The following is a 24,640-nucleotide window of genomic DNA, read 5'->3' on the forward strand; positions in this document are numbered from 1 at the left end:
ATATAAGAAAAAGAAACCTCATAACCTCAAAATAAAGACACATATGCCAAGGAGAAGGGCAATATTAATGGTCTGATTACTGTATATAAGAAAAAGAAGAGCAAAATGCATATTGCTCATAAAGCAATCATGAAGCAGAAACATTCTTAAAACATTGTTTTATGTTGCTAAACTTTTACCTCTCTCAAACTTCGCCAAAGACAGCACAAAGCAGCAGAGATTTCATGGACAAGAGAGACTAATAATGACAAAATGTAGTGCAGATTCTAGACTCTCAAATTCAGGTGAAATAACATAAATAAGTTTTTAACTTTTTTAAAAAATCATTACTCCTGCTTGTTTGTGCATATTTCTTCTGGAGCAGATCAAAACTAAGCTGAGAACCTAGATGGTATGCACAGATAAAGAAATGGGCATATCACGTCAAGATTTCTACCCCGATATGGTAAAACCAATGTTATATATGGAACAGCTTTTTCTAAACTTTCTAAATTACATAGCTTGGATCTGAGAATTTCTAAGCTTAGAAAATTAGAGGACATAGATCTAGGATTTTTTTTTTTTTTTTTTTACGTAAACAATTACAAGTAAGATGGACTAAGGTCAGCTTTAGTATGTATGATATTAGAATGATTCCAGAACGTTTCTGGCTTTGTGTAAGAATCTTTCACTATGAAAGACAGGTTGCAATTTAAAAACTCACCTTGAATATAAAGTAAAAGAAAGGGAAACTAAAATAAACTTTTATTTAATAAATTGTTTTGTTTCAAATGTATAATTATTCTCGAATACAAACTATAGTCTTCTTTTTTATGACATCCTCTCTGCTAAAATTATATACATAGTACTTCTATCTGCTCCCTCGTTGGAATAAAATACTCAAGTTGTTTTACATCTGAAAGCAGAGTTGAGATTCCTGCCCAAACTTGACAATGGGCTTTAAAAGTAAATGTAAATTGTGAAATGGTGTCTCAAGAGGATATTAAAACATAAATGTTAAGTGGAATAACACAGTCAAAACTGTCACACAGAGTTAATAGTAAATTGTATAATGATGCCAAGGAGGCATAATCTACATTTAATTCGAAGCTCTTCAGACTAATAACTACGATCTTGAAGCAGATGCCTATGCTTGTAGATAATGAGCCAAAACAAAATTCCAGGACAGAATAAAATAGCTATAAATAAGATAGAAAAGAAAAATGCCTTTAAGTTTGAAAATGTGCAAGTGGCTTAAAAGTATACATATATATCCAGCTATAAATGTGTATGTATAGTTATACACATGTATGTATGTGTGTATATGTATATAACATATAGCATTATGCCTTTGCTTCCTAGCTGAGATCAACACATGCTTTTGTACTTATAAGGAAGTAAACTTTAAAAATCACACTGCCACTTTCTATGTGCAAGCAATATTCTTTTTATATTTATATGCAATAATTTCACTAGAAGCTGTGTGCTTTTCTGGAAAAGCAAGGTCCACAGGTTTCTTTATCTTTGACATTTCCAAAGTTATTACTCTTTTCTCCCTTGCATTGGAATCTTTTTCTTATATGCATAAGAGTGCCTTTTCTTCCAGATTTTCCTTTTGAAAGAAGGAGCAGATAAGTGTTTTATGTCACAGAAGCACAGCCATGTGAATGGTACATGGGCTTCTGTTTCCAGCAGTAACAAAGACTCCACTGTGTGCCCTCAGGTGAGTCACTTAACCCTGCTGTGTCACAACTGCTCCACCTGCAAATTCAGTAATCACCTTTGCCACTCATCTTCCTCTTGGGGTTGTTTTGAGTATGTCGTAACTGGTCATTTATTTGATCCATTCAAGAAACACCCGGCCGGGCGCGGTGGCTCACGCCTGTAATCCCAGCACTTTGGGAGGCCGAGGCGGGCGGATCACGAGGTCAGGAGATCGAGACCATCCTGGCTAACACGGTGAAACCCCGTCTCTACTAAAAATACAAAAAATTAGCCGGGCGTGTTGGCGGGAGCCTGTAGTCCCAGCTATTCGGGAGGCTGAGGCAGGAGAATGGCGTGAACCTGGGAGGCGGAGCTTGCAGTGAGCCGAGATCGCGCCACTGCACTCCAGCCTGGGCGACAGAGCGAGACTCCGTCTCAAAAAAAAAAAAAAAAAAAAAGAAACACCCAATGCCCTTGGACCTTTGAATGTGCAGACCCAAGTGCAAGCTCAGTTATAAAACTACATCCAACAGCAATATTTCCTTACTGAAAGAGACAAAAGGCAGCCAATTGAAGAATGCCAGACCCAAATGACATCTTGAAGGCCTTTGAGATTCTCAGATGAAAGGCTTTATGTAAAAATAAAGTGTTGCTACTACCTAGGCAGAGAAAAATGCACACATTTTCTTTCAGCATTCAAGAGACCAATACAGTGGTGCCCTCTGCTCTCCTTTGATTTTTCGTTTGCATTTAGTTTGACGACAATATAGATAAATCCTCCATTTGGTGCCATTGGACCAGGGTTACATTTCAGTATGTGGAAAAATGATGAAATGAAAGAGAAAAGCCTTTGAAAGAAAGTGAAAATAAATGTAATAGCCAAAGCCAAATAATAGTCAGAGTATATTTAAAGTCTATTAAAGAGCAGCAGTCAGGGTATCAAATGCACACTCTTTCATCCTCTGTGGTCAGCCTACTATGTGGACCACCTGCCTTAAATTACACAAGTTCACCGCATCCCTGGAGTGAAGGGGAAGGCAGGAGAAGAATGGGGGTGGAGAAGCAACTTTCTCCATTCATACTAATCACACAAATGGTAAAATCTTTTTAGAATGCCTCTTTTCAATTCACAATCAATTACATTTGAGTCTCTAAACCACCACTCTTGGGTTTGGAATAATGTGTGGATATGTGCAGTAAAAAAGTAACTTGAAGTTTCAGTTTCTCAGCAGATACTGATTGGCATGTACTGTTTAATCATCAGTGATTATGCTGTTTTAGAAGGTGAAAGAACAATGTGGAGCTGTTTATTGCACAGGAATATATGAAAATAGAGCCCTAATTGGCCGAATCAGGAGAAAAGACAGACCCTTCTGGACAGGCTGCTCCAGTTTGGACAAGAATCACATGTGGACAGTATATGTGGAGCTCTCACACGAAACAAATGGAGTTGATTTCACAGACATTACAACACACTAATATGCTAGCCAAATTTCTTATTAGACTTAATACTTATTACTTTCAGAATACTATGGCTGCCACATATGGTTGTGAGGGATGGTCACTGAACAAGGGCACTTGGTCCACAGTGCAAAGGGGCCTGAAATAAGTCCCACTCTGCACAATAAGATATAAGCCCTGAAAAAAAGGGCTCCCTTTACTATTTAGACAGGGAGCTCATATAAGCAAATAGCAACTATGGGCTCCACAGCTATTTTAAATTTAAAACATTTAAAATAAGTGTCTGAATCATAATGTTTCAATAAATGTTTTTGAACATCTTTTTGCTTACCTGGGCTTTTATTCTAAAAATGAAAGATAAGAGTATTAATCCTCCTACCCCGCCCCCCTGCCCATGATAGAATGGGACTGTCAGTATTGTCATTTTTCAGTCATTTCTGCCCAGGTTTTCCTATTGGTATAATGTTGATAATTAGTATATTTAGTTCAAATTAACAAAAATGTCATGTGCCAGGCACAAAGCAAAGTGTTAGAATTACACATCACTAAGCTGGACAGGCATCTGTATACCAAAAACATATAGTCTAATAAGTGACTACTAATCACTTAATTTTTCCTACAGATTGATGAAAAGATAAAATAGCAAATGCAAAAGAGAAAGTTCTTGGGCTCACTTCCATTAGTTCTGTTCTAAAGTTTATACTCTCAGAATGCTTAATGCAGAGGAACTTATTTTCCCTCTCCACTCCTATTCTCCCACAGGTAAGGGGTCTCTAATTTTCTGCACCACCTCAAAATATCAAAGAAAACTGGGGTGTGGTAGCCACCGCAAGGACCTCCAGTGCACATGTAGCTAAACATACACAAGTGAGACCATGCTTCTGCGATTAGAGGCTTCTTCCTTCACTGTCATGAGCATAACATGGTCACTTATGCATAGTCCTTAGATCGTAATCAGAACTCCAAGAAATGTTTGCTGACTGAATAATCTTTCATTTGTTCAACTGAAGGCAGTGTCATAGTGGCCAGCCATGCAGCCTGTCACTTGAAGAAAAGTGCTTGAGGAAGAATGAACATTTCGACATTACTTCTTGCTGATCTACAATTTTAACTCTATTTGTACAGCCAGATAACTGAGTACATGATTTACAGGAATAAATGAGAGTCACCTGTGGCTGTACGTTTGTGTAAGTCCACATACTTTTTACGTAGGTTGTTATATTTATGAATTGTGCTACCTACACTCTGGTTACAGGTTGTTCTTTACATCAATAACTCATGAAAACCCACTAGGAGAGCATGTCAGATATAAGAATGGCACCACAGATCACAGATTGAAAAGACCTCTGGGATCATCTGCACAGAGTAGGAAAAACCACTCATGATCACTCTCCTTTGGTTCTGCCTCATCTGTAATCACTCCATGGGGCAAACTGCACTCCTGGTTTTTCTGACCAACAAACAGTTCTGCACAGGCTAGTTAAATTATCTTTCCGGCCGGGCACGGTGGCTCACGCCTGTAATCCCAGCACTTTGGGAGGCCGAGGTGGGCAGATCACGAGGTCAGGAGATCAAGACCATCCTGGCTAACACGGTGAAACCCCATCTCTACTAAAAATACAAAAAATTAGCCAGGTGTGGTGGCGGGCGCCTGTAGTCCCAGCTATTAGGGACGCTGAGGCAGGAGAATGGCGTGAACCCGGGAGGCAGAGCTTGCAGTGAGCCGAGATCGCGCCACTGCACTCCAGCCTGGACGACAGAGCGAGACTCCGTCTCAAAAAAAAAAAAAAAAAAAAAAAAAAAAAAAAAATTATCTTTCCTTTTCCATCAGTCTTGAATTCATATGAGTATTGTTAGTGGTAATTATCCTTATAAAAGGCAAAAATAACGGTCTCAGGGCATTTTTCCACAAGCAAGGCTTTGTATCAGAAATGGTAAAAATCAAAATGAAATCAGAAGTATTTAGAAAGTTACATGTATTCAAAATACTACTATTAGAATTTTTAATTTAAATAAAGACACTTATTTTCAGTCAGGAAGCAAAATGATATAATAGCCAAATAGTAATTCTTATTCCTATAACTTGGCCTTTACAACTTACCAGGTGTTAAGTCTATACATAGAGTAGTGTCCAGTCTCATTATTTAAGAGACAGTCGTGTTCTTGTTATCTGCTTTGTTTATCTAAAACTTTGCAGTAAAAGAAAATGATACTGAGCCTTGGGGAATCCTTGTTCAGCTGAAGAAAATGAGTAGTTCTGGTACCCAGGCCAATTTTAGATTTTACTATCGTACTTAAAGTACAAAAATCATGGTTCCAAGTAGAGAAAAGAATGCTAGACTAGGCCAAATTATTCTTGGGCAAATGTCTCAAACATATTGGGCTTCGAGTCCTTCATGTAAATTAAATAGTTAAATTAAATGAATCTAAACACTAGGAGAAATAGAAATTTTATTCCAATGTTGGAGGCCTATTAATAACCAAACAAAGAAGGTATGGAAATCACCATCAGGTGAAAGTTGGCATTGGAAACCACTTGTCTTAGGAGGGAGAAAGAGGCAGCCAAAGCAACTTCTGAAAGCCTTGTGAAGACAACCTCAGTGAAAATCGGAAATAACGACAATAAAGTCAAACCGGTTGTCAGAGTTTATCAGAAGAACGGTCCCAAAGCAGTACCTGACCTGACCGGCCAACTAACCTGAAATTCAACAGTTGAAGTTTGAGTGGCATATTTATAAAATCAAACGTCTTCTGGAAGCTACATGTAAAAACGAAACTGTAGCTTATGAATAGAAGAAGTGGCTACCAGAAGACTCTACCTATATTTTGGAGTTCATTTTAGGTCACATATCATTCTTGTTTGTCACAGCCAACTATGGAAATAACACTACCAGTGTCACTTCCCAATAGGTCAGGAAGAATACTTGGAAGAAACATTTTGGAAGGCAGTCGGTGTTTGCTGTTAACAAAAATGGCCACACCAATGTATACCATCTCCCCATTCCACAATGAAATATTATTTGCTACTACAGATATCACAGTTTTATACAGAAAACAAGTGACAAAGATATAGAAGTTCAACACTAATTTCTCCTTACACAAAATACAGGTGACCCCTTTGGCCACCAACCTGTTGCTCAAGCTAGTTTTAGAAACCCTGTCAGGAAGAATAAAAATTTCTGTGGTTTCTGGAACATTTTGGGGGTATAAGGTCTTGACCAGCAAATATGAAAGTATATTGTAAGGTTTCCTCTTAATATCAATACTTAGTATCACATTTTGGGTCTTGTAAGTGCTCACATATGTTTCAGAAACAATTAAATTTTTTATTGACATTTTGGCCTGCCTCCTAAAGATGATATCCTTCAGCTGTTAAACATTTGATAGGTTTGAAGTTGGGAAAGTTTTTTTTATTTAATATTTTTATGCTCTTGAAGATGTACATACAGAAAAGGCAAGAGGTGACCTGAGTCTTTTGAAGTAGTAATCAAACTTTAGGAAAAAGGCAGAGACTTTCAAAAACCTTTCTGGGTGTCTTTTGAGAGAGAGGAGGGAATAATTAGTAGACCTTTGTCATATGATTAAGCTTATCAAATCAGGATCGGTTCTACACACACCAATAAGCTCTGATCTGGTTCCTTGTTTTGTAACATTATAAAGAATGAGGAAAACTTGTGCATTGGAAAATAAATTTGTTTAAAGGGTCTCGAATTAATTAATTTATTTCACCTGGGAAATCGCACTTATTTTTCAACTGGGAAGGCAAACGGCTGACCTTCAAGTTACTAACATCTACAGGACTTGAAAAGAGAAGGGAGTCTGTAACCTCATCAGAAAAGACTGAAACAGTCAGATACTGTTCCCCAAATATTACAGATTTCCTGTCTTATAGGATTCTAAGCAAATAACCAGAATATCACTCCGGGGTACACCTTCCTGTATAAGCAATGCCCTGGACTAGACCCTCCTAACAGCTGCTCTCCAAGTCTCCGCAGCCAATTCCTTCCTTAATTTGCCTTCACTTTGAGAAAGAAAAAAGAAAACAAAATCCCCCCATTCCCCGTTCCCAATCTATTACATTTCAAAGGAGGAGAAAGAACTGGAAAACCCCGTTTCCTTTGAGAAACGCGTCCGCGGCAGCTACTGAGGGTCTGCCCCACCTTTAGCTTCAGGTTGACAACTGCCTTCAGCGCGTTCTCAGCTCAGCTGGCCCTATGGGTCCCCTAAAATCGCCCGAGCGTCCGCCCTGTCTGACCTGCCCCCCTGCCGCGGCGCACATTTCAGCTTTTCAGCTTCACGGTGGAGCTCGCAGTAATTGAGTCGCGAGGGTTATTTTTCCTGGCCTCACCTCGCGGTCCTGAGCCTGCAGGGAGCTTTCGGAAAGACATCGCCCCCTCCCCCTGAGTCCCCGGCAGCTTCTGAACGCTGCGCGGGTCTCCGCCCCGCGGGAACCAGGATTGCGATCCGTTCCTCGGCGGCTAGAGGTTGAGGCCGGAGGCTGACACCACCAGGGACCCAACGGAGGGTTTATTCTGCCCAGCTTCACATCTGGGGGTCAAATCGCATTAAAGCCAAACCACCAACGGGGCAGGGAGCAGGTGGTTAACTGCACAAAATAAAGTTACAGAAAAAACCTCGTTTTGCAGGCGAGTGACTTAGTTTCCCTCTGTAGCTTTGCCGTCATAAAAAGCAAGTCCCTCCCCTCTCCTGAGCTGGAAGGCGGGGAAAGGTTATCAGCGGCTCCAGATGGACGCCCGTAGGCAGGGTCAGTTTAGGAAGACCGGCAGGCAGGCGTATTAGGCGCGCGGGCTCCCATCCTCATGGCTATGGGAAGCAAGTTTCCCTCATCCCTTCTTGGAAGGTAAGAGCTTTGACATCTGGAAGTGTCAGAAATGAGCCTTTTGCCATAAATCATCCTGAAAAGCATTCAAATCAGACAAGCGTCTAGAGACCCTTTAGACACTCCACCCCCAAAATCCTAGATCAAAGTGCAGTTCCTGGAACCATAAACACCTATTATATGCAAAATCCTACTTATCTGGAGGATGCCAAAACTGAGAGTAAAGTAAGGGGTAAGGGGCACTTTTCGCTGTAAATTTCCTATACAAATCTCAAAATTTTTCTTAGCATTGTCAACTACCTTCTTGGAGACAGGCTACAGCGCTTCTAAACCCAATACGCTTTTCTGGAGTCCTCGGAACAGCTGGCCGGGGCTTTTAGCACACGGGACGGGACCTTCGCCTTTGCCTGTTTTTTTTTCGACCAGGAGAAGCAGGTGCGAGAGTCTGGGGCTTAGGAGGTGGAAGGCGGGGAAAGAGAATCCACTAGGTCCTCGTGTAGAGAACAACAGTCGCTCCTTAGATATTACTCCAGGACGGAAACCTGATTGCAAACCGCTGTTCCTTCGAAACTTGCAAAACCCGGAACAGAAAACTCCCGCCCAGCCAATTTTAGCTCTCGCTGAACTCTCCCGCCTGCGTTACGTTTGCACAGCAACTCTTTGTAAATGTCCGAGTCCTCTCGGAGGAAAGATCGTTAGGGCGACGAGAACATTAAGAGGGGACCTGGAGGGCAGATATCCTCGATCCCAAGAGAGCAACTTTGTCGCCTCAGAAAACACGCCAACTTCCCTCCTGCTCTTTCCTTGGTCAACTCAGAATCAACCGATTGTATTGAAATCTCCTGAAATCCCGAACAGGGATTGGCCCAGTCGGCTTCTGAAACCGAGGCCGGGGAATGGCAGGAATGGGGGGCAGAGAGGATCGGAAAGAAGAGTCCTTCCCCCACAGACATTCCCAGCTGGGACACGAGCTCGCTCGCAGCGCGTTTATGGAAAGAGGGGGCGCTGGGAACCGCGCTGGCGGCGAGCAGACTCCAGGGTCGAGATTATTCGACACGTGTCTTTTATTCCTCACAATCCATTTCTTACGGGTGATTTATGAACGAATCTCTTTGATCAGGGACGGTTTTATCTGTCCACTGCTACAGATGACAGATGCGGCTGCTAAAATGCCTGGTCCCCGCTGCCTAAAAGGTTGCTCCCCCCCTTCCCAAATGCTGTTGCTTTTTCTCTGGCGGTCCCCACCCCCTGCTTCTTCGTTCTCCTTCCCTACCCCCAACCCCGTTTGCTGTCTTAGTTGCAATCCCTCTGGGTGGTTAAGTCAACAAAAAAGCGCAGAGCAGGGTCAGTAGGAAGCCAAGGCAGGCATACTTTGGGCACGCCATCCTCCTGATGCCACATTTGTTAGGGTCTTAAGAAGGCCCCTAGCCGGAGACCAGAAGAGCTTGCTCTTAAGGTGGGGGTTGCCTGCCTTCGGAAACTAGAAGATGAGGTCCTCACAGCCAAGTCCCATGGGCCTGGCTCTGCCCAGAAAAGGCTCGTGCTGGGGTAGGGAGCCAGTACACCGGGGGAAGCCTCAGCCTGCGGTTCTGTGCGGGCCGGGGCTCATCAGAACAACCACTTTGGCTTAATTGGGGAGGGAAGGAGGCAGCTGGAAAGGGGGAGAGGGGAGAGGATCACGTTACAGAGCCTCCTAGTCCCTAATAGGTAAAGGAAAGCGGAGTCTCTGAAGCGGTTATTAATAGTAGGGGTGTGTGTGTGTGTGTGTGTGTGTGTGTGTGTGTGTGTGTGTTAGTAGTATTTCATTAAAACCATATCCTGGAACAAAGAGTTGTTCTTTCATGTTTCTTTGCTTTGTTGTTACTCTGACAGGAGTTCTAAAAACAGGATTTTTCCAATCAAAGGATCCCTGGAGTTATCTGCCCCCTCCTAGCCTCCTTTCCCTCCACCAAACTGCTCTTGGTATCATTATCCCGCTATGGATTCTTTCTTATACTCTTGATTTAGCCAGAGGACATTTAATAGCTGATTGGATTAAATGTTGCAGACTCCAGCCTGGGCTATTTGAAAATCCGGGTCGTGGACTGTGCCTAACATCAGAGAAGGAAAACTGATCTATGAGATGTGTTTTAAGTTTCACGTAGTACGGCGGGGAGAGAAGGAAGAGGAAGAAGGGAGTCTCTAGGTTACAAAGTTAGAAGTTTCAAAAGGTGTGCGTTGATGAAGGGTAGGGAGAGAAGTCAGTGGCGGAATGAGGCAAAAGGCAACCTTAGCAAGAAGCTAATAGAAATTTCCTCCATCATAATGTGCAAACGAGATTTATAAGAACACTTTGTAAATATTGCTCTGGATGTCAGGATTCTTCCCCAGGAATGGAGTGCTGACTCCATTAGGGGTGCATCCACAGACCTCTCTGAAGGACTTGTTTGTCATTGCTAAATTTGTGGTAGGAAGATGGTTTCTGCTTCAAGTTTGCTTTCAATAATAGTAACAATTCTTTGATTGGTGTTAAGTTTCAGGAACAAAAGAAGAGAAATGTGGGCTGTTTTTGTCCAGTACTATGTTTAGAAAATGGAGGCATAGCAGTCCCAAAGGAGAGCTTCGCACAGCCAAATCTGGGTGTTGGGGTTTGACCGAGTATTTCTACAAGGACGGGAAAACCTAGAGAGGCAGGATCTGATGCTCCTCAGTGACCAGGACCTCTGTGAGCTACAACCAAATAATATGATATGCACCCAAAGGTAACAATAAATCAAGGCTAGGAATGACTGGATGGGTATTGAGATTAAATGCTATAGAGAGAAAGAGCCTGTTTATCTGGTCTGGAAATTTTAAAAATTGTCAATCCTTAAAGCTAATATGATCACTGACTATATTTCATTTCTGATTATGCCTGTAGGAAGCCCAAAAAGGAATAAGATAAACCCTCACAGTAAAATTGGATTTAATATTGTGGAAGAAAATACCCTGACTTTTAAATTTTGTTTAAAGTAGAGAGCTATATGGGTGGCTATATAATAACATAAGCCAGATATAATGTCAATTTAACAGAGATTTAGGGATAGTGTTGCATCTAAAAGAAGAGCCACAGCACAGTTCATTGAATATATCGTCTTAATATATGGGTAACAAATATTTAAAACCTTATTGTATGCCAAGACCCTGGCCTGAGCCACATGTTAGCATTCACAGTAACCTCTAAGAACATTCCTATTCAACATGGAGAAAGTAATTGGACTCTCTTCCACATCTGGCGAACTGCTAATTCGTTTTAATTTTGTTTACAAGCTTTCTTCTTGCATAAAAAAAATGCTTCCTCTGTTTACAAGTCATTTTTAAAAATCCTTTTCAATCAAACTGATCATGTATCTTGGTAAAAGCCCTTCCGCATGGGCTCGGGGATTTCAGAGTGCTGGGTCCTGGCCCCATGAGTAAGGGATCACCCGCTCATCTTTCAGCCCATCCAAGCATCTTGGAGGTTTAGAATCTGTCAGGCCTGGCATTCCTTCGCTCTTCTTATCACTCTCTACCCCTTCAAAAAGGCAATTGATTAGTTTCAGCTTTTCCAAACCGAGATCCGATATGTTTTTCAGGATCAAACGTCTTTGAGAAGTCCAGAGAGCAATGTGGGAAGTGGGGAATGTGAAGAAGGAAAACAGGAGGGGGATGGTGAAATTCATCTCTCACCCTAACTCTCCAAAGGAACCTAGGGGATGCGCATTTTGGGCAGGAGATGGAATTGTGACTTCTGGAAGATGCACTTAACAACTTGAGATGTGTCTTCCCTTTCTGAAAGCAAATGTTTAAAGAAGAAAATAGATATCTAGAAAAGGAGGTTGATGATTTATGCCTGGATTTCTCTCCAAGCATTTGCCTTCCTTGTATTTACAGGCGTGTCCCCATTTGCAAGTTGTACGTCTGTTCCTTTCACGTGACATTTCATAAAAGCCCTAACATCTGGGCAAGATAAACTTCCTTCAGGTACCTGCTTAACTTTTCACTTGTCACACTCACATCACCCCCCAAGGCATCCCTTTCTCTCTCCCGCCTGCCTCAGTGGTGGCCTCTGTGGGGGTGCACTTTGTTCCAGTCCTCCCACCTCCCACCCCCATGTCGCTGGCCCCAGTTCCAGCTTCCCACAATATCACCCCCTCCCAGTGCCAACCTTTGCCGTGGCCAGGTTCTTTGAGAGACTCCCGATCCTTAGTCTCCCACTTCAGGCCTGACTGTGCAGGTAAATGAGGGTAGCATTTTGAACCCCAGAAAAAAAGTCATATTTCGATTCTGTCTTCAGACCAAAACCAAACCAAAAGGAAAACTGCCGACTACTCCATACAAACTCACACTTAGGTTCGATAGTCCCTTATACATCTATATATTCCTCAATAAAGTGAAATAAAAGAGCAGCTGATTTTGGTGGTAGTCATTTCGTGAGATTTCCCTCTCTGGTAGATACGCAAACTTCATGTTTTACAGAAACTTAATTTCACTTGCTGGAAATCTCCCCTCCCCCAAGAAGGCTGCCTTCTGGAATGAATGCTTTTAGAGTTGTTTTTTCTTTTCCTAATCTAGAATTTTGTTCCTCTGACTTCAGCCTAAATCGCACGAAGGAGGAGGACACATCCACAAACTTGAGAGCGGGTGAGAGAAAAAAAAAATAGAAGGAAAAGAAAAGAGTCCACGTAAACAAGAAAGGAGGCTGTTGCAGGCTCTCCCTGCAGCAAACCCCAAACGATCTCGTTGCAGGGCGCCCACAAAATCCCGGCTATAATTGAGTGTTTTCTTTGAGGTTTTCTGACCATGTGCTTTTTACCATGGTTACTATGACTCTGATTCCAGAAGCTGAATATTCATCATGATCCCATCCCAACCTTTCAGAAGGCTTATCTCGTTGGTCCTTACAAAGAAGGAGAATCTAAAGGGGGCTCCTCTGTGCCAGTGATTTTAACCTGCTCCACCTTCCAGTGACCTGCCACATGCTCCTTCTTACTTTATAGACATCTGGGAATTCCATACATGCCTTAAACTCCAATTACACACCTTCTTCAAAGGACACGTGCTTTGATTTGCTAAGAACATTAAGTGGGCTCACGTCCTTAGGCCTTGAGACAAAAGCGAGGGGAAAATGGAAAATGTATCCCATGTCGTTTTTTTTTTTTTTTTAATTTAAACTGGGTCTATCCTTTGCTGTCCAGTAAATAAAGATAGTTAATAATCCTCCTATTTGCACATTCGTGGGCTCTCAAAGAGTTGGAAGGTTTCTGAGAAATAGTGGGATTGCCGGCTTTGAGAAAATATGAAGAAACCGATTTCTCCTTCCACTTTGCCAGTGCACTTTCCTTCCACTTTCACTGGTGCTGGGGGCGGCGCACTCTTTACGACATATAAGCGGAAAATTCTGCAAAAGTGGCCCCCGGGGATCCCCGCCCGACCCCTGTCTGTCGCTAATGTGGGCCTGTCTCCGGAAATTCGAGGTTGGGCCTTTGCCTGAATCTGTTGCTATTGCTCCCCTTGCTACCGCTGACACTTGGCACCGCCGCCTCCTAGCAGCGGCCAGACGCGGGGCTGGGGGCCTTCCACGCAAACCGAAGGAGATACGGACATCGTCATTCTCCCCACCGCGCGAGCCGGGCCCGCCACCCACGCAGGGGAGACCGTGCCCGTGCCCCTCTCCCGCGCCTGCCGCAGGTGAGACCCTCGCTCCCCACGGAGTTCTGTTTGGGTTTCCGTGGCGTTTGTTCCCCGCAGGTTTGTTTATTTTTCTTCAAATTACAGATGCAGGGAAAACCGCCTGACATCATGAGAGCGGGACAAACGCTCACTTTGAAGGATTCCTGGGCAGGACTTCAAGTGAAATCATATGCCTGAGAAGAACTTGATACCGGTCTAGAGAAAATAACCAGTTCTGACTTTGCCAAACCATGGAATGTGCAAAATGCTCTACTTTTTTGCAAGAGGCCAAATGTCCCTTAAAAAGCTCCATTATGAATATGAACCTTAAGACCGAAGGGTCAAGAAGCTTGTGCCGTTGTTGAGTGTGGGAAAAAATTTACACACATCGTGCAAGTTTCTGCTCCTTAACATTATTTTATTAATAATACGTTCCACTTTGGGGAGGGGAACCTGTAACTGTGCGTGAATTATCATCTGGACATGTGCTTCTGTGAACAAAAGGGGAAATGTGCATATGGGTAAAAAAATTACTGCTTTCTTATAACTAAAGGCTATCAATCTGACCAACTTATAAATAAAAGTAATCAATAGCACAGTAAAGGAAACATTAAATTTTCTACAATTTACCCAAGACAATTTAATACAATACTTTCCCCTAGCAAATGCATTCTGAAGGAAAAAGATCCCAAGTGAACCAACACATTAATTGGAAAGCCTTAGCTTCTTATTTCCGAAAACAAGAGGTAATTCATTCTATGTGTTCTTTAAATAAGGGTAGGTAGCAAAAATAAAATGAAATAACATAAAATCAAAAGAAGATATAATGGTGGAGGAAAAGAAACAGGTGGCTTCATTTCTATTCTAAAAAAGAATTTCACGATTTATGTCTTGTGTATACAGGGGTAGGGATTAGAATCTGCAAGCTGGAAACTGCATTCCAGTAGTTAATATTTTTCATTGTGCAGTCGCCTCATTCAAAATAAAATTACCACCTTTTTCATTCATTTATTTCTCTGAAAATCTGGGGGGAAACATTACCTTCAGATTAGTATTTAATATTACTATAAATATGGCATTTGCTTTTCTCCAAAGTGTTTCCCCTTATGAAAAAAGTAGAAAAAGCAAAACACATTAAAAAAAGAAAGAAATAAAAGAAAGGCAAATGGAGAGCTACCTTTCTTTGACACATCTAGTTCTTATATCCAGAGTTAAGATAACAATTACCTTCTCAGCAGTCATGGCCAGCTCCATCCTGGTGTACCTTAAGAAATCTGAAATATCAAATAGTCAGACCAAGCTAGTGAACAAGGAGACTCCCCATGAATAATTTAGAAAATGGAGGTGGTTGGATGATACATACAAAAAAGAATTACCAACCTAATGCTTTCCCTCATCCTCCTAGGGCACCCTCCTTACATTTCTAACCTGCCTTACACACAACACACACACACCCCCAACAAATACACCAACACATAATCGCCTTCCCTTTCTGTTATTTGCTAAAGGACTATCAAAATAAAAAAATAATAATACTTCTCCAAGCTTTCACTAACCTTTTAATACAAGTCAATGCTGCAGACTCCTTATTGTAAAATATAGTCTGAAATATTAACAATAAATTCATAATATTCTTATGTCAGCATTCTATGGTGCTGTGTGAAGAAGAAAACAAAAACCTTCAGGCAATAAAATAACTTTGACCTGAGCTAAGCAAAAACGATCTGTTTGGATACATACACTTATTAGTCATTGTTTGAAACAGGCACCAAAATGATTTTCCAGTTTGAAAGCTTCCCCAGTTACACTTGGATGCAGTAAATCGGATGTAAAAGCTAAGAACTGATACAAAATCACTATTTCTAATAATGTTAATTATAAAAGCCAGTATGTTCCTGGCCCACAAATAATCAGAATGAAATAAAAAATCAAACACCCCCGTTTGCCCATTATTGTTTTACTTAACTTCAGATTGTGTGTGTGTGTATGTATGATCTCACCAGGGAAAAATTCTGTGTAATTCTGGATAAAATATAACGCTAATGAACTGACTAGTAACTGCATAGCTGTAGTATTTAAAACTGTGATTATTCCAACTGTGATTATATCCAGTTACCAAGGATACTGAAAGTTCAGGATCTTCATTTTTGTATATTATTCCACAGCCTTATATTCTTTACACATAAAAAAAGAATGATGCTTCCCAAATAGCGTCAATATAGCGATATATTAACTTTTCTTTTTAGCAAACATGACACTAAACGTCATATTCATTCATGAGAGAAGAGTTAAGCAAATTACAAATGGAATTTTCTCTTTTCTGCTGATTTACACTTTATTTTCTATGCATTTCTGGTCATTTCTATATGTGTATAGATAATTTTCATAACACTATATATGTTTTCACTGAAAAGAACCTGTTATTTAGGAATCTTCACAAAGAGTGAAGAGCATGACAAAAAGTACATAATAAGAGAATAGTGCAGGTTTTATACTCCTTATTTGCATTTAACTGTTTTAACAACTATCACCTCAAAATAAAAAGGAGGTGAATAGCAAATTTGTTAAGTTTTTGCTGTTTGGAGACAGTAAGAGATGAAGAGATGCTACTAAGCCCTCTGAATACCAAACTGGAATAATAATAAAGCTGTCTTTTAAAATAACATGCTTGTGCCTGTCAGTAGCTGCTTTATTTGAGTTTTTCATTGCTTTGTTTATATTAGTGCCCCCTCCCTCCTGGGTGCCTCTAGAATTAAACAAGCAGGTATTTACCACCAACTTAATCTTTAGTTTTAAAAATATAGACCAAACTCTAAGGTTCTCTAAATTTTTTATATTTATTTATTGCAGAAAAATATACAAAGATATTTACAAAACAATCATAAAAATATGAATGCATTTAGACACCGGATCTATTTGCATTTTACCATGGGTCCTCAATAAATAAATAGAATGTTGTTTTTTGTATTTTAAGTTTTTTTTTGTTTTTCCCCTCAGAGGAAGGATGAAAAAAAGAATTAACTGACTATGGTTTTGCAGGCCAGTTTGATCCCAGTATTTTTATTTCTAAAGGTGTTCTTATAGTTCCTCTGATTGTTACCATTTTAAAATAGAGAAAGTCCATAGTGATGCCTTTCCTTTCAGTGGCTGATTGGCACGACCTCTTGAGAATGCATGCATGAAAAAAATAAAAATAAAAACATTCTTCGTCAAAAAAAAAAAAAAAAAAAACACAAACAACTGTTCAGACTTCTATCAGAATGCAGAGGTGTGAGGATGGTGCCGCTGCCCGTCTGGGAATCACTGTCCACGGGCCTGTCTCGCTTTCTCTTTTAAAAGTGCGCCCCACGCCCTGTTTCTTTGAATTTGGATTTTGCTCTTCTAATTTCCAAGAAAATCTTTGGCATATATTTTTATTTTTAGTTATCCAGCTCCAGAGTCTCTAGACTGTCCATTTTCTCCTTCTCTGGAAACAATGACATCTGCAAAAACCCAGAGGGGGGGGGGGGAGTCGGTTATTGTTTAGGTCTCTGCGGCTGTTTTCTAAGACTAGTGAGCACTGTTCTTATCACCACCACTGAGAAATTAAGCTGAACAACCTGGAAGGATTTCAGCCCAAGGGCAAGAGGAAGTGGGTGGGTGGAAAGGAGGAGGAGGTGGAATTTGTTTTAAAACATTTGTTTTAAGGAGAACAAAAATTGAAAGCCGAAAGAAAGGGTGGCGCTGACAAAACGGTCCTTACCCGTGACCCTGGGTGTCTCTGTCTCCCCTCCTGTCACGCACACTCACGCGCACACACACCCCTCACCAGGGCGCATCCCCCTGGAGACTGCTCTCCCTAGCGGGGTCAGACCGGCCTTCCGGGGACGCTGGGGGCGCGAGGCAACGGTGCCAAGTGAGGTGGGAAGGCTGAGCGGAGAGTGGGAGAGGGGAGGAAATCGAGGTGGACTGGGAACCGCGGCCTGGCCGGCCTGCCGTCTGCCACCTGAGAGGCGAAGGGGTGCAGCGGCGCGGTCCTTACCTAGGTCTCCGGCCCTGCTGAGGGGGTGGGGGGCTCCGCCTGCTAGTGGGACGCGGACATGGACCAGGCCCCCTCCATCCTCCAGACCGAGAAGGCGTAGCTGAGCCGCTCGTGAGCCACATAGCTGCAGCTTGCCATCTTGGAGTCCAGCTCGTCGCTCTGGAGGACCTGGTAGAGGAAGTCGATGTACCTGGCCGCCAGCTTGAGGGTCTGAATCTTGCTCAGCTTGTCCGAGGGCAGCGTGGGGATGATCTTCCGCAGCGCGGCGAACGCCTCGTTCAGCGACTGGGTGCGCTGGCGCTCCCGCACGTTGGCCATGACCCGCTGCGTCTGCAGCTCCTCGTAAGACTGCGGACTCCCGCCGCCGCTGCTGCTGCCGCCGCCGCCGCCCGCGCCGCCGCCGCCGCCACAGCCCGCAGACTTCTTGCCGCGCTTGCCCTGGGCCGGGCTGCCCGGCTCGTCGCCGCCTCCGACGCCCCCACCCGCGGCTCCGCCGGGCCCCGCGCCGCCGCCCGCGCTGCGCCTGCTGCTGCGCCGCTTGCGTCCCCCGCGCTTGCCGCTCGGCGGCTGCTGCCGGTCTGGCTCTTCCTCGCTGTTGCTCAGGCTGTCGTCGGCCGGCGAGACTGGCGAGCTGGACACGTCCTGCATCATCTCTCGAGCGGCGACGCGTGGCCTCGCGGGCCCGGGGCAGAGGAGAAGAGCGGGGCGCCTCAGCCCGCCAGCTTCCCCCGCGCGCGGCGCCGGCCCGGGCGATGCGGCCCGCGGAGGAGAGAGCAGGAGGACGGACGGGAGGGACCTCCGCGGGGAGGGCGCGCGGGGGAGGCGGGGAGGGAGGCGGGAGGGGGAGGGGACGGTGTGGATGGCCCCGAGGTCCAAAAAGAAAGCGCCCAACGGCTGGACGCACACCCCGCCAGGCCTCCTGGAAACGGTGCCGGTGCTGCAGAGCCCGCGAGGTGTCTGGGAGTTGGGCGAGAGCTGCAGACTTGGAGGCTCTTATACCTCCGTGCAGGCGGAAAGTTTGGGGGCAGCAGTGTCATTGGCCTGACGTGAGGAGGAGGGACTTTTCGAAGTTTTATAGGAAAGTTTCCGCTTTCCAGTCCCCCTCCCCCGTCCCACCTCCCTTCCTCGGGGTCTAACAATTCGTCCTCCCAAACCATTCAAAAACGACCTGGCCCGGGCGGCCGGCCCCTCCACCCGCCTCCTAGCCGCCCTCCCCCTTCCCTCCCCGTCGCCTTCCTCCGGCGGGCGCGGGGCGATTTCCTTCCCCGCCGGAGCGTGCGGGCAGCGCCCCCGAACCCTAGCGCAGCCCAGGAAGCGGTCGGAGGAGACTGTCCTGGCCGCGGTGGCAGCCCCATCCGGAGTGGCTGTGACAGCAGCAATGGCAACAGCTTCTACACAGTGGGTGATGTCTCATCTCGCCCAAGAGCCCTCTAGGTCCGTGGGGCCGATTTGGGATTGCTGGGGCTGGGGGGGTGGTGTGGCGCGGGGTGGGGGGGCATGCCAAGAAAAGTGTCAACCGCGGAGCCCACCCAATGGTCAGGTAGACGAACCCCTTGGAGTTCCAAAGGCCAAACCGCGGCGGCCCAGCCCGGAGGTCCTGGGCGTTTCTGAAGACGTGGCCGCGCCGCGGGGGCTGAGGATTTGCGTCCCGGCCTGCTCTCTCGCCCTTCTGGGCCCTCCTTTCCCCTCTACAACGACCCAGTCTGACGCTCCCCAACATCCAAAGGACTACGCCTCGGAAGGTGCTCGAAAGAGGCAGAAGTTCACTCTTCGGTGGAAGGAAACCCAGTCCATGGGAAAGGCAGCAGAGCCAGAGGGGGGCAGCGCAGCGCCTTTGCTGCGGCCCTAACAGCTGGCAATGCCAACCCAAGGGAGAGACCCTGTGGCCATTTCATCCCCACCCCCAAATTAGGCTCCGCATTGTGACCTTGAAAGGCCAGCTTGTAAGAGAGTGAAGTGGGAATTTGATAGCGCCTAGACATAGGGGCTGCCCGCTCTGAGACCCCCCCCGCCCCAGCCCCCACTATCTAGGGCATCCAGTGGACAATTAGGCTTCGTGAGCCCCAATTCCAAATGCTTGGATACGCTAACATTTTAAGCATTTCTGTCTGTAAGTTAAAACGAAGAGCCCCAAAGAGGGTGTTAATGTAGATCCTGGCAAACTGGAAGCAGCAAAGTTGGTGAACCAGAAAGGAAGTCGCCTTGGATAAGAAGCCCATCTTTTGCAATGCCATACTTGTTTCCTTTTTGAAATGAATTGAGGTAAAATAACCGTTTCAGGTCCATCCCTTACATGGCAAAGTAAAAAGCTGGAGTCAGTACACAGTGTTGGGGTGGGGGCAGCGTTTGGGGGCGACGAGTTTTGTGCACCGCGCTGGAGTACCCTGCACATAAGGTCCGCTCATGGGCTTCTCAGTACGGACTCGCCGGCGGGAACAATTAATTGAGCAAAGCGCCCCTTTCTGGGCTGGAGCAAGGTTCGCGGCTGCAGATATCTCAAGCTGAAGGCAAGAGCCCAGGCGAGGCGCAGGCAGGCCACGTGGCTGTTCCCTGCTGAGACTCGCAGCTTTGGTCTTGGAAACCTCAGGGTGTGGAGCTGCTTGGGCCGACTGAAGGGTTCAGCTTTTTGGGAGAAGTGAGGGCGAGTGTTATTTCTCCAGCGAGGTGTAAACAAGACTGTGCTTTCATGGGAGGGACAAATTGCAGAGTTGATCCCTTACCATTTTTACAGAAATACTCAGAAAGTGACTACAGCTTGTCAACTGGCCTGTTTAGTGAGCCGCTGCCTTACTGTAAAATTGTCTGAAAATCAGATTCGACTTGACCTCCACTTAATTTCAGTAGCACTCTAGCAGTTCTCAAAACAGTCACCCCTGCACCCTTGCGTTTGCATCTTCCGCTACAGGATTTTATCTCTTGGAAGCGCTTAGAGAATGCGGCAGAAATTCTGCCCCACTCTCCACCAAGTGTTCTTTTTGTAAATCTGAATTTACAGTATTCTGCAATTCTTATTTAGAACGTGGCTGCAGAAATCTCGAAACCTTTTCCACTTCAGCTATTTTTTTAAAGATAAATCTTATTTTTGTTTTGTTCTTTTTTTCTCTTTTCTCAAAAATAAATAAAGAGATCGAATGATTGGACTCTTTCCTTTGTGGCCACGGATAAGTAAGACAGGAAAGTGTGGGTAAAGTGTAAAGGAAATCTTACCTGACCAAGGGGAATTTGGGAAGGGGAGGGGAGCGGACAAGCTAGAGGAGAAACCAAGTCCACAGCAGCGCAGCAGCCAGGGGTCATTAGCCAGTCCATCTTGCAAAGTCATCAGTCTCAAAGACTGGTTCTTAAACAAGTGAGCCCAGCCCTTTTCCCGGCACTAAACTTCTAGCTGATGAAGAGCTCCTGGCCATTGGGTACAGGGATCCCCGCAAGGCTCAGGCGACGCTCTGATGCCAGAATACTGAGAGGGGAATTCAAAATGAACACCTAACCAGAACCATCCTGCCCATGGACTCTTTCAGCCACAGTCACAATTGATGACTAGTTCTAAGAAGAAATGGCTCTTGAACTGTTCCGGGGAGTGGAGGATGAGACGACTTTTGAGTTCTTAAGTGGGGCTTGAATGTTACTTTTGGAGCAAAAGTAGTCCAGGAGGTACCTCTCAAAAAATGGCTGGAGCTAGATACTCCCTGCTTTGCAAACTGCAACACGCCCTGGCTGACGAGTCCAGTCTGCTCATATACAGCTCTTTCTTATCTAACATTTTACCTAACAATTTTCTTTTCCACATTTGCAAGGATGGCTCCCTTTTTACTTGTTGACAGGTCAGGTATAATTCTGGATTCTCTTATATATGCAACAATAATTGCAACTTCTGCAATGTTTAGTTTAAATTTGAAAGCTTCTTTCTAAAATCCCAATCTTGAGATCATGAAAACAATCTTAGAAATTTTCTTTTGAGGCTGAAGTTAGCCTAACTGGAAGTATGTCAGTGGGGACTACCTTCTTTGGGAATGCTAGATTAACTGGAATTCAGTCATTTTGCCTCCTTCTAAAGTAAAGTCCTCCCCAAAAAAATTTAACTGAAAAAAAAAATTTCTTTTGTACTTGGATAGTTCAAAACGATCTTTGTTTTCAAACTGCAAACTTGGCATGTTTGCAATCCTGCCTGAGGAATGTGTGCTGTGTTAAAAATTGAAACAAAAAATACTGTTAAAAGTAACAGAGTTAGAAATCTCACATTGAACATATACAATAAGTATTAAGTATCCTGGCAGTTTGAATATGCTGTGACATTCTCTTAGCAACAACCAATTATAAATACTTTTAGATACGGAAAAGAAACACACACTATAGAATGGTTAGCCAACTGGTAAATTCTGGAGTTTGGGCTTGCATAAAAGGTGAGTACCTCAATCTGTTCCTACTCTTCTTTCTCCTCAGACCTTAGATGGCCTATCACCTGTTTGTTGGCTCCGAGTTCTGAGAAATAATTTATCTGAATTGCATAAATAGTGCACAGGAGCATTCGCACGGAAGGGAGTGAAAATTAGAAAGGCTGCAATTGAGTGAATATCAGATGAGGTTGTATATCTTAGATTTCATCTTGCTTTGAACACTCCAGAGGGACTGCTGTTTAAATGAGAGAATTTTAGTAAGGTGGAATATAAAGTCATGTATGTCAACACAATAACTGTGTAAAAGCTTATTCTTCTTTCATGACCCTGGTAGCCTTAATGATGTTTGAACACCTTTCCCTATATAAAAACTCATTCTCTTTCTCTTTAAATGATGATTTGATTCATAAACTCAACTGATTCTACATTTTTCTATCTGAATATCTTTAAAAGTAAAAAAAACAAACTAAAGTTATAAAATGTGAAGTTTTCAATCCAGAAATAAAACGAAAAAGTAAAAAACACAATAAATTAGGGTGCGAACAGTACCGCAAGTGAAATTTTCAAATAAATGTTAATCTTTAAAATAGCTGACATTCTGAACTCAGCTTAAGGATGGGATGAGGAGACATAGGTCTAACCTGTAGAAAGTGCAGGATCAGAATATGGAAAAGTATGGAGTCTTGAAGAGCATTTTTTTTTTTCATTTTTTTTTTCAGGGGTTGTGCAGGCTGGAGAGTTGGTGTCTTAGCTGCCCATTAACCTTGTTGGAAAACACACTCACTTCACTTGTATCAAAGAGTTGCTGGAATAACTGATGAAAGAATGCAAGAAATAAATAGTTATTCATAGGAACTATTATCATGGTCTCAGTCTTTCTACATAGCATTATGTGTCTTCTTTTTAATCATCCGATGACCAGTAATTTAAATATAAATGGAATGATTTACATTCTATGTTTTTTCAATTCAATTTCTCTTTCTGATTACTCATAACTTTCACCTTTCTTCACTGGAAGGGATTTCCGTTTTTCACAAATGGGTTTTCCTGAAGCCTTATGTCCTGCTGCTATTGTTTGGTTTGGTTCTTTCTGCAGAAAACATGTTGTTTTTGCCAGTCACCACAAGAGGACACAATTTCCCAGATAACTTTGTTTAGAAAGAAGCTCAGAGAAGAGGAAAGCTAACAAAACAGCAAAAATAACACACAATTAATGAATATCATTTGGAGATGTCTATTTGATTTATGCCATTTTTATTAATTAAAAAAACATGAGTTAGCATTCAAACTTTTGAAGATTTTATAATTTGTACTTTCTTAGAACATAAAGAAAATATACTAAATATACTAATGTAGTTAAGGGAAAATGTTTATTTTACGTTGACATAATTTTGTAGAAAACTCTTGGTGACTTTGAATTTTACTTAATTCCATGTTTGGCAATGAAAAACAGTTTATTTTTTTTTTCTAAAAGATTTTTCAAAATGCCATTAACAGTTTGAATTTCTACTTCAGGCATTTGGGTTGTCTTTACATTGAAAACTATATGAAAACTATGTTTTATAGTTTTCCACTTATATTTTAATGCAAATTTTAGGATAATAAATTATTTTGCAGATACATGGAAAAAATGCGATATCTTAAGGTACTGACTCTCAGCACTTCCTCAGAATTATTATACACAATCTCTGATTTTAGAGATCCTTCCTCTTTTCTAGTACCTTCTTTCAAAAACATTTTAGAATATTTGATTACTTTGTACATTAAATTGGATTATAGCTTGATACTTTTCTGAAGACTTTCATGGTTCTGGTGGATTGCTACCATGATCAGGCTGTGGAATCCTGCTTTCCTTGGAACTAAATGTTTTGCTTTGCGTTTGTATCTTTATGCAGATATATCCCTAATTACTCTCTCTGAGACCCTGCTGGAGTGAGTGAGCAGTAGACCAAAGACTCTGAAAAAAAAAAAAAAAAAGGAAAGAAAGCAGAAAGAGTAAGAGAAAATAAGAAAAATAAGGAGGTCAAGAGATAGATCAGAATCTGGAGAGAGAAGGTGAACGAGAGAGCTGGAACAAGTGGACAAGAGTGATAGAGAACAAGAGAATGAGACTTTATATATAGGAGGAATAAAAGGCCTAAATAACAAGAGAAAGAAATTGATGCATTTGAGAGAAATATAAAAGCTCCAGGATTATTTGTCTCTGTTTCTGATCAAAGACACTGCCTGTCCCTTGGTACAGACATTTAGATTCGAAAATTTCTGTAATTGTTGCCCAAGTCATAACAAAGTTGAGACAGGTGGAGAGCCATTCAATTTATAATTAAGGTTGGTGTTCATCTAATGGGTGAGCTCTGTGCCAAATTAGAGTAAAGATGGCAATATATTGTCATTACTGGATCTTAGGGTGGATCTCATCCGGGGGAAGACAGATGTCATCATTTTTCCCTGGACATGATATTATTTTCCATTTGACCTGCACATTAGAAGTCAGACTGTATTTTTCCTAGTGGTTCGCTAGGGTCAATGTCTTTGCCCTTCCCACCACAGATACCTTAGTAAAAGCAATGCAAA

At 43.0% G+C, this 24,640-nt stretch overlaps 1 protein-coding gene and 1 long non-coding RNA gene across 3 annotated transcripts, besides 3 other annotated features; one reads left to right on the plus strand and one right to left on the minus strand.

Annotated features, from left to right (window-relative positions):
• The first annotated feature begins 7,932 nt into the window (after nt 1-7,932).
• Nucleotides 7,933-14,250, plus strand: LOC124901597 (uncharacterized). The gene is made up of 3 exons (XR_007060241.1): nt 7,933-8,005; nt 12,557-13,672; nt 13,760-14,250. It is a non-coding gene; the product is annotated as an uncharacterized LOC124901597 (long non-coding RNA).
• On the minus strand, nt 14,052-18,641 carry TWIST1 (twist family bHLH transcription factor 1). 2 transcript variants are annotated; one of them, NR_149001.2, is made up of 3 exons: nt 17,676-18,641; nt 14,882-14,928; nt 14,052-14,145 (listed from the first exon to the last, which is right to left on the minus strand). NR_149001.2 is itself a non-coding variant. In NM_000474.4 (2 exons), the coding sequence occupies exon 1, from the start codon at nt 18,324-18,326 to the stop codon at nt 17,718-17,720; it is 609 nt and encodes a 202-aa protein (NP_000465.1). In that variant the 5' UTR covers nt 18,327-18,641; the 3' UTR covers nt 16,473-17,136; nt 17,676-17,717. The 2 variants fall into 2 exon arrangements, 1 of the variants encoding a protein (NP_000465.1); NM_000474.4 differs by lacking the exons at nt 14,052-14,145; nt 14,882-14,928 and adding an exon at nt 16,473-17,136.
• Nucleotides 17,648-17,907: an enhancer, noted in NCBI's record as "active region_25682". NCBI's record gives its function as "activates an Ori minimal core promoter by ATAC-STARR-seq in GM12878 lymphoblastoid cells {active_cell/tissue: GM12878}" and the evidence as "EXISTENCE:reporter gene assay evidence [ECO:0000049][PMID:35858748]".
• Nucleotides 17,931-18,714: an enhancer, noted in NCBI's record as "H3K27ac-H3K4me1 hESC enhancer chr7:19156549-19157332 (GRCh37/hg19 assembly coordinates)". NCBI's record gives its function as "activates a minimal SCP1, AML or CMV promoter by ChIP-STARR-seq in primed H9 embryonic stem cells {active_cell/tissue: H9 hESC(primed)}" and the evidence as "EXISTENCE:reporter gene assay evidence [ECO:0000049][PMID:30033119]".
• Nucleotides 19,788-20,651: an enhancer, noted in NCBI's record as "H3K4me1 hESC enhancer chr7:19158406-19159269 (GRCh37/hg19 assembly coordinates)". NCBI's record gives its function as "activates a minimal SCP1, AML or CMV promoter by ChIP-STARR-seq in primed H9 embryonic stem cells {active_cell/tissue: H9 hESC(primed)}" and the evidence as "EXISTENCE:reporter gene assay evidence [ECO:0000049][PMID:30033119]".

The sequence above is a fragment of the Homo sapiens genome, chromosome 7, assembly GCF_000001405.40.
Source record: "Homo sapiens chromosome 7, GRCh38.p14 Primary Assembly".
Lineage (NCBI taxonomy): Eukaryota > Metazoa > Chordata > Mammalia > Primates > Hominidae > Homo > Homo sapiens.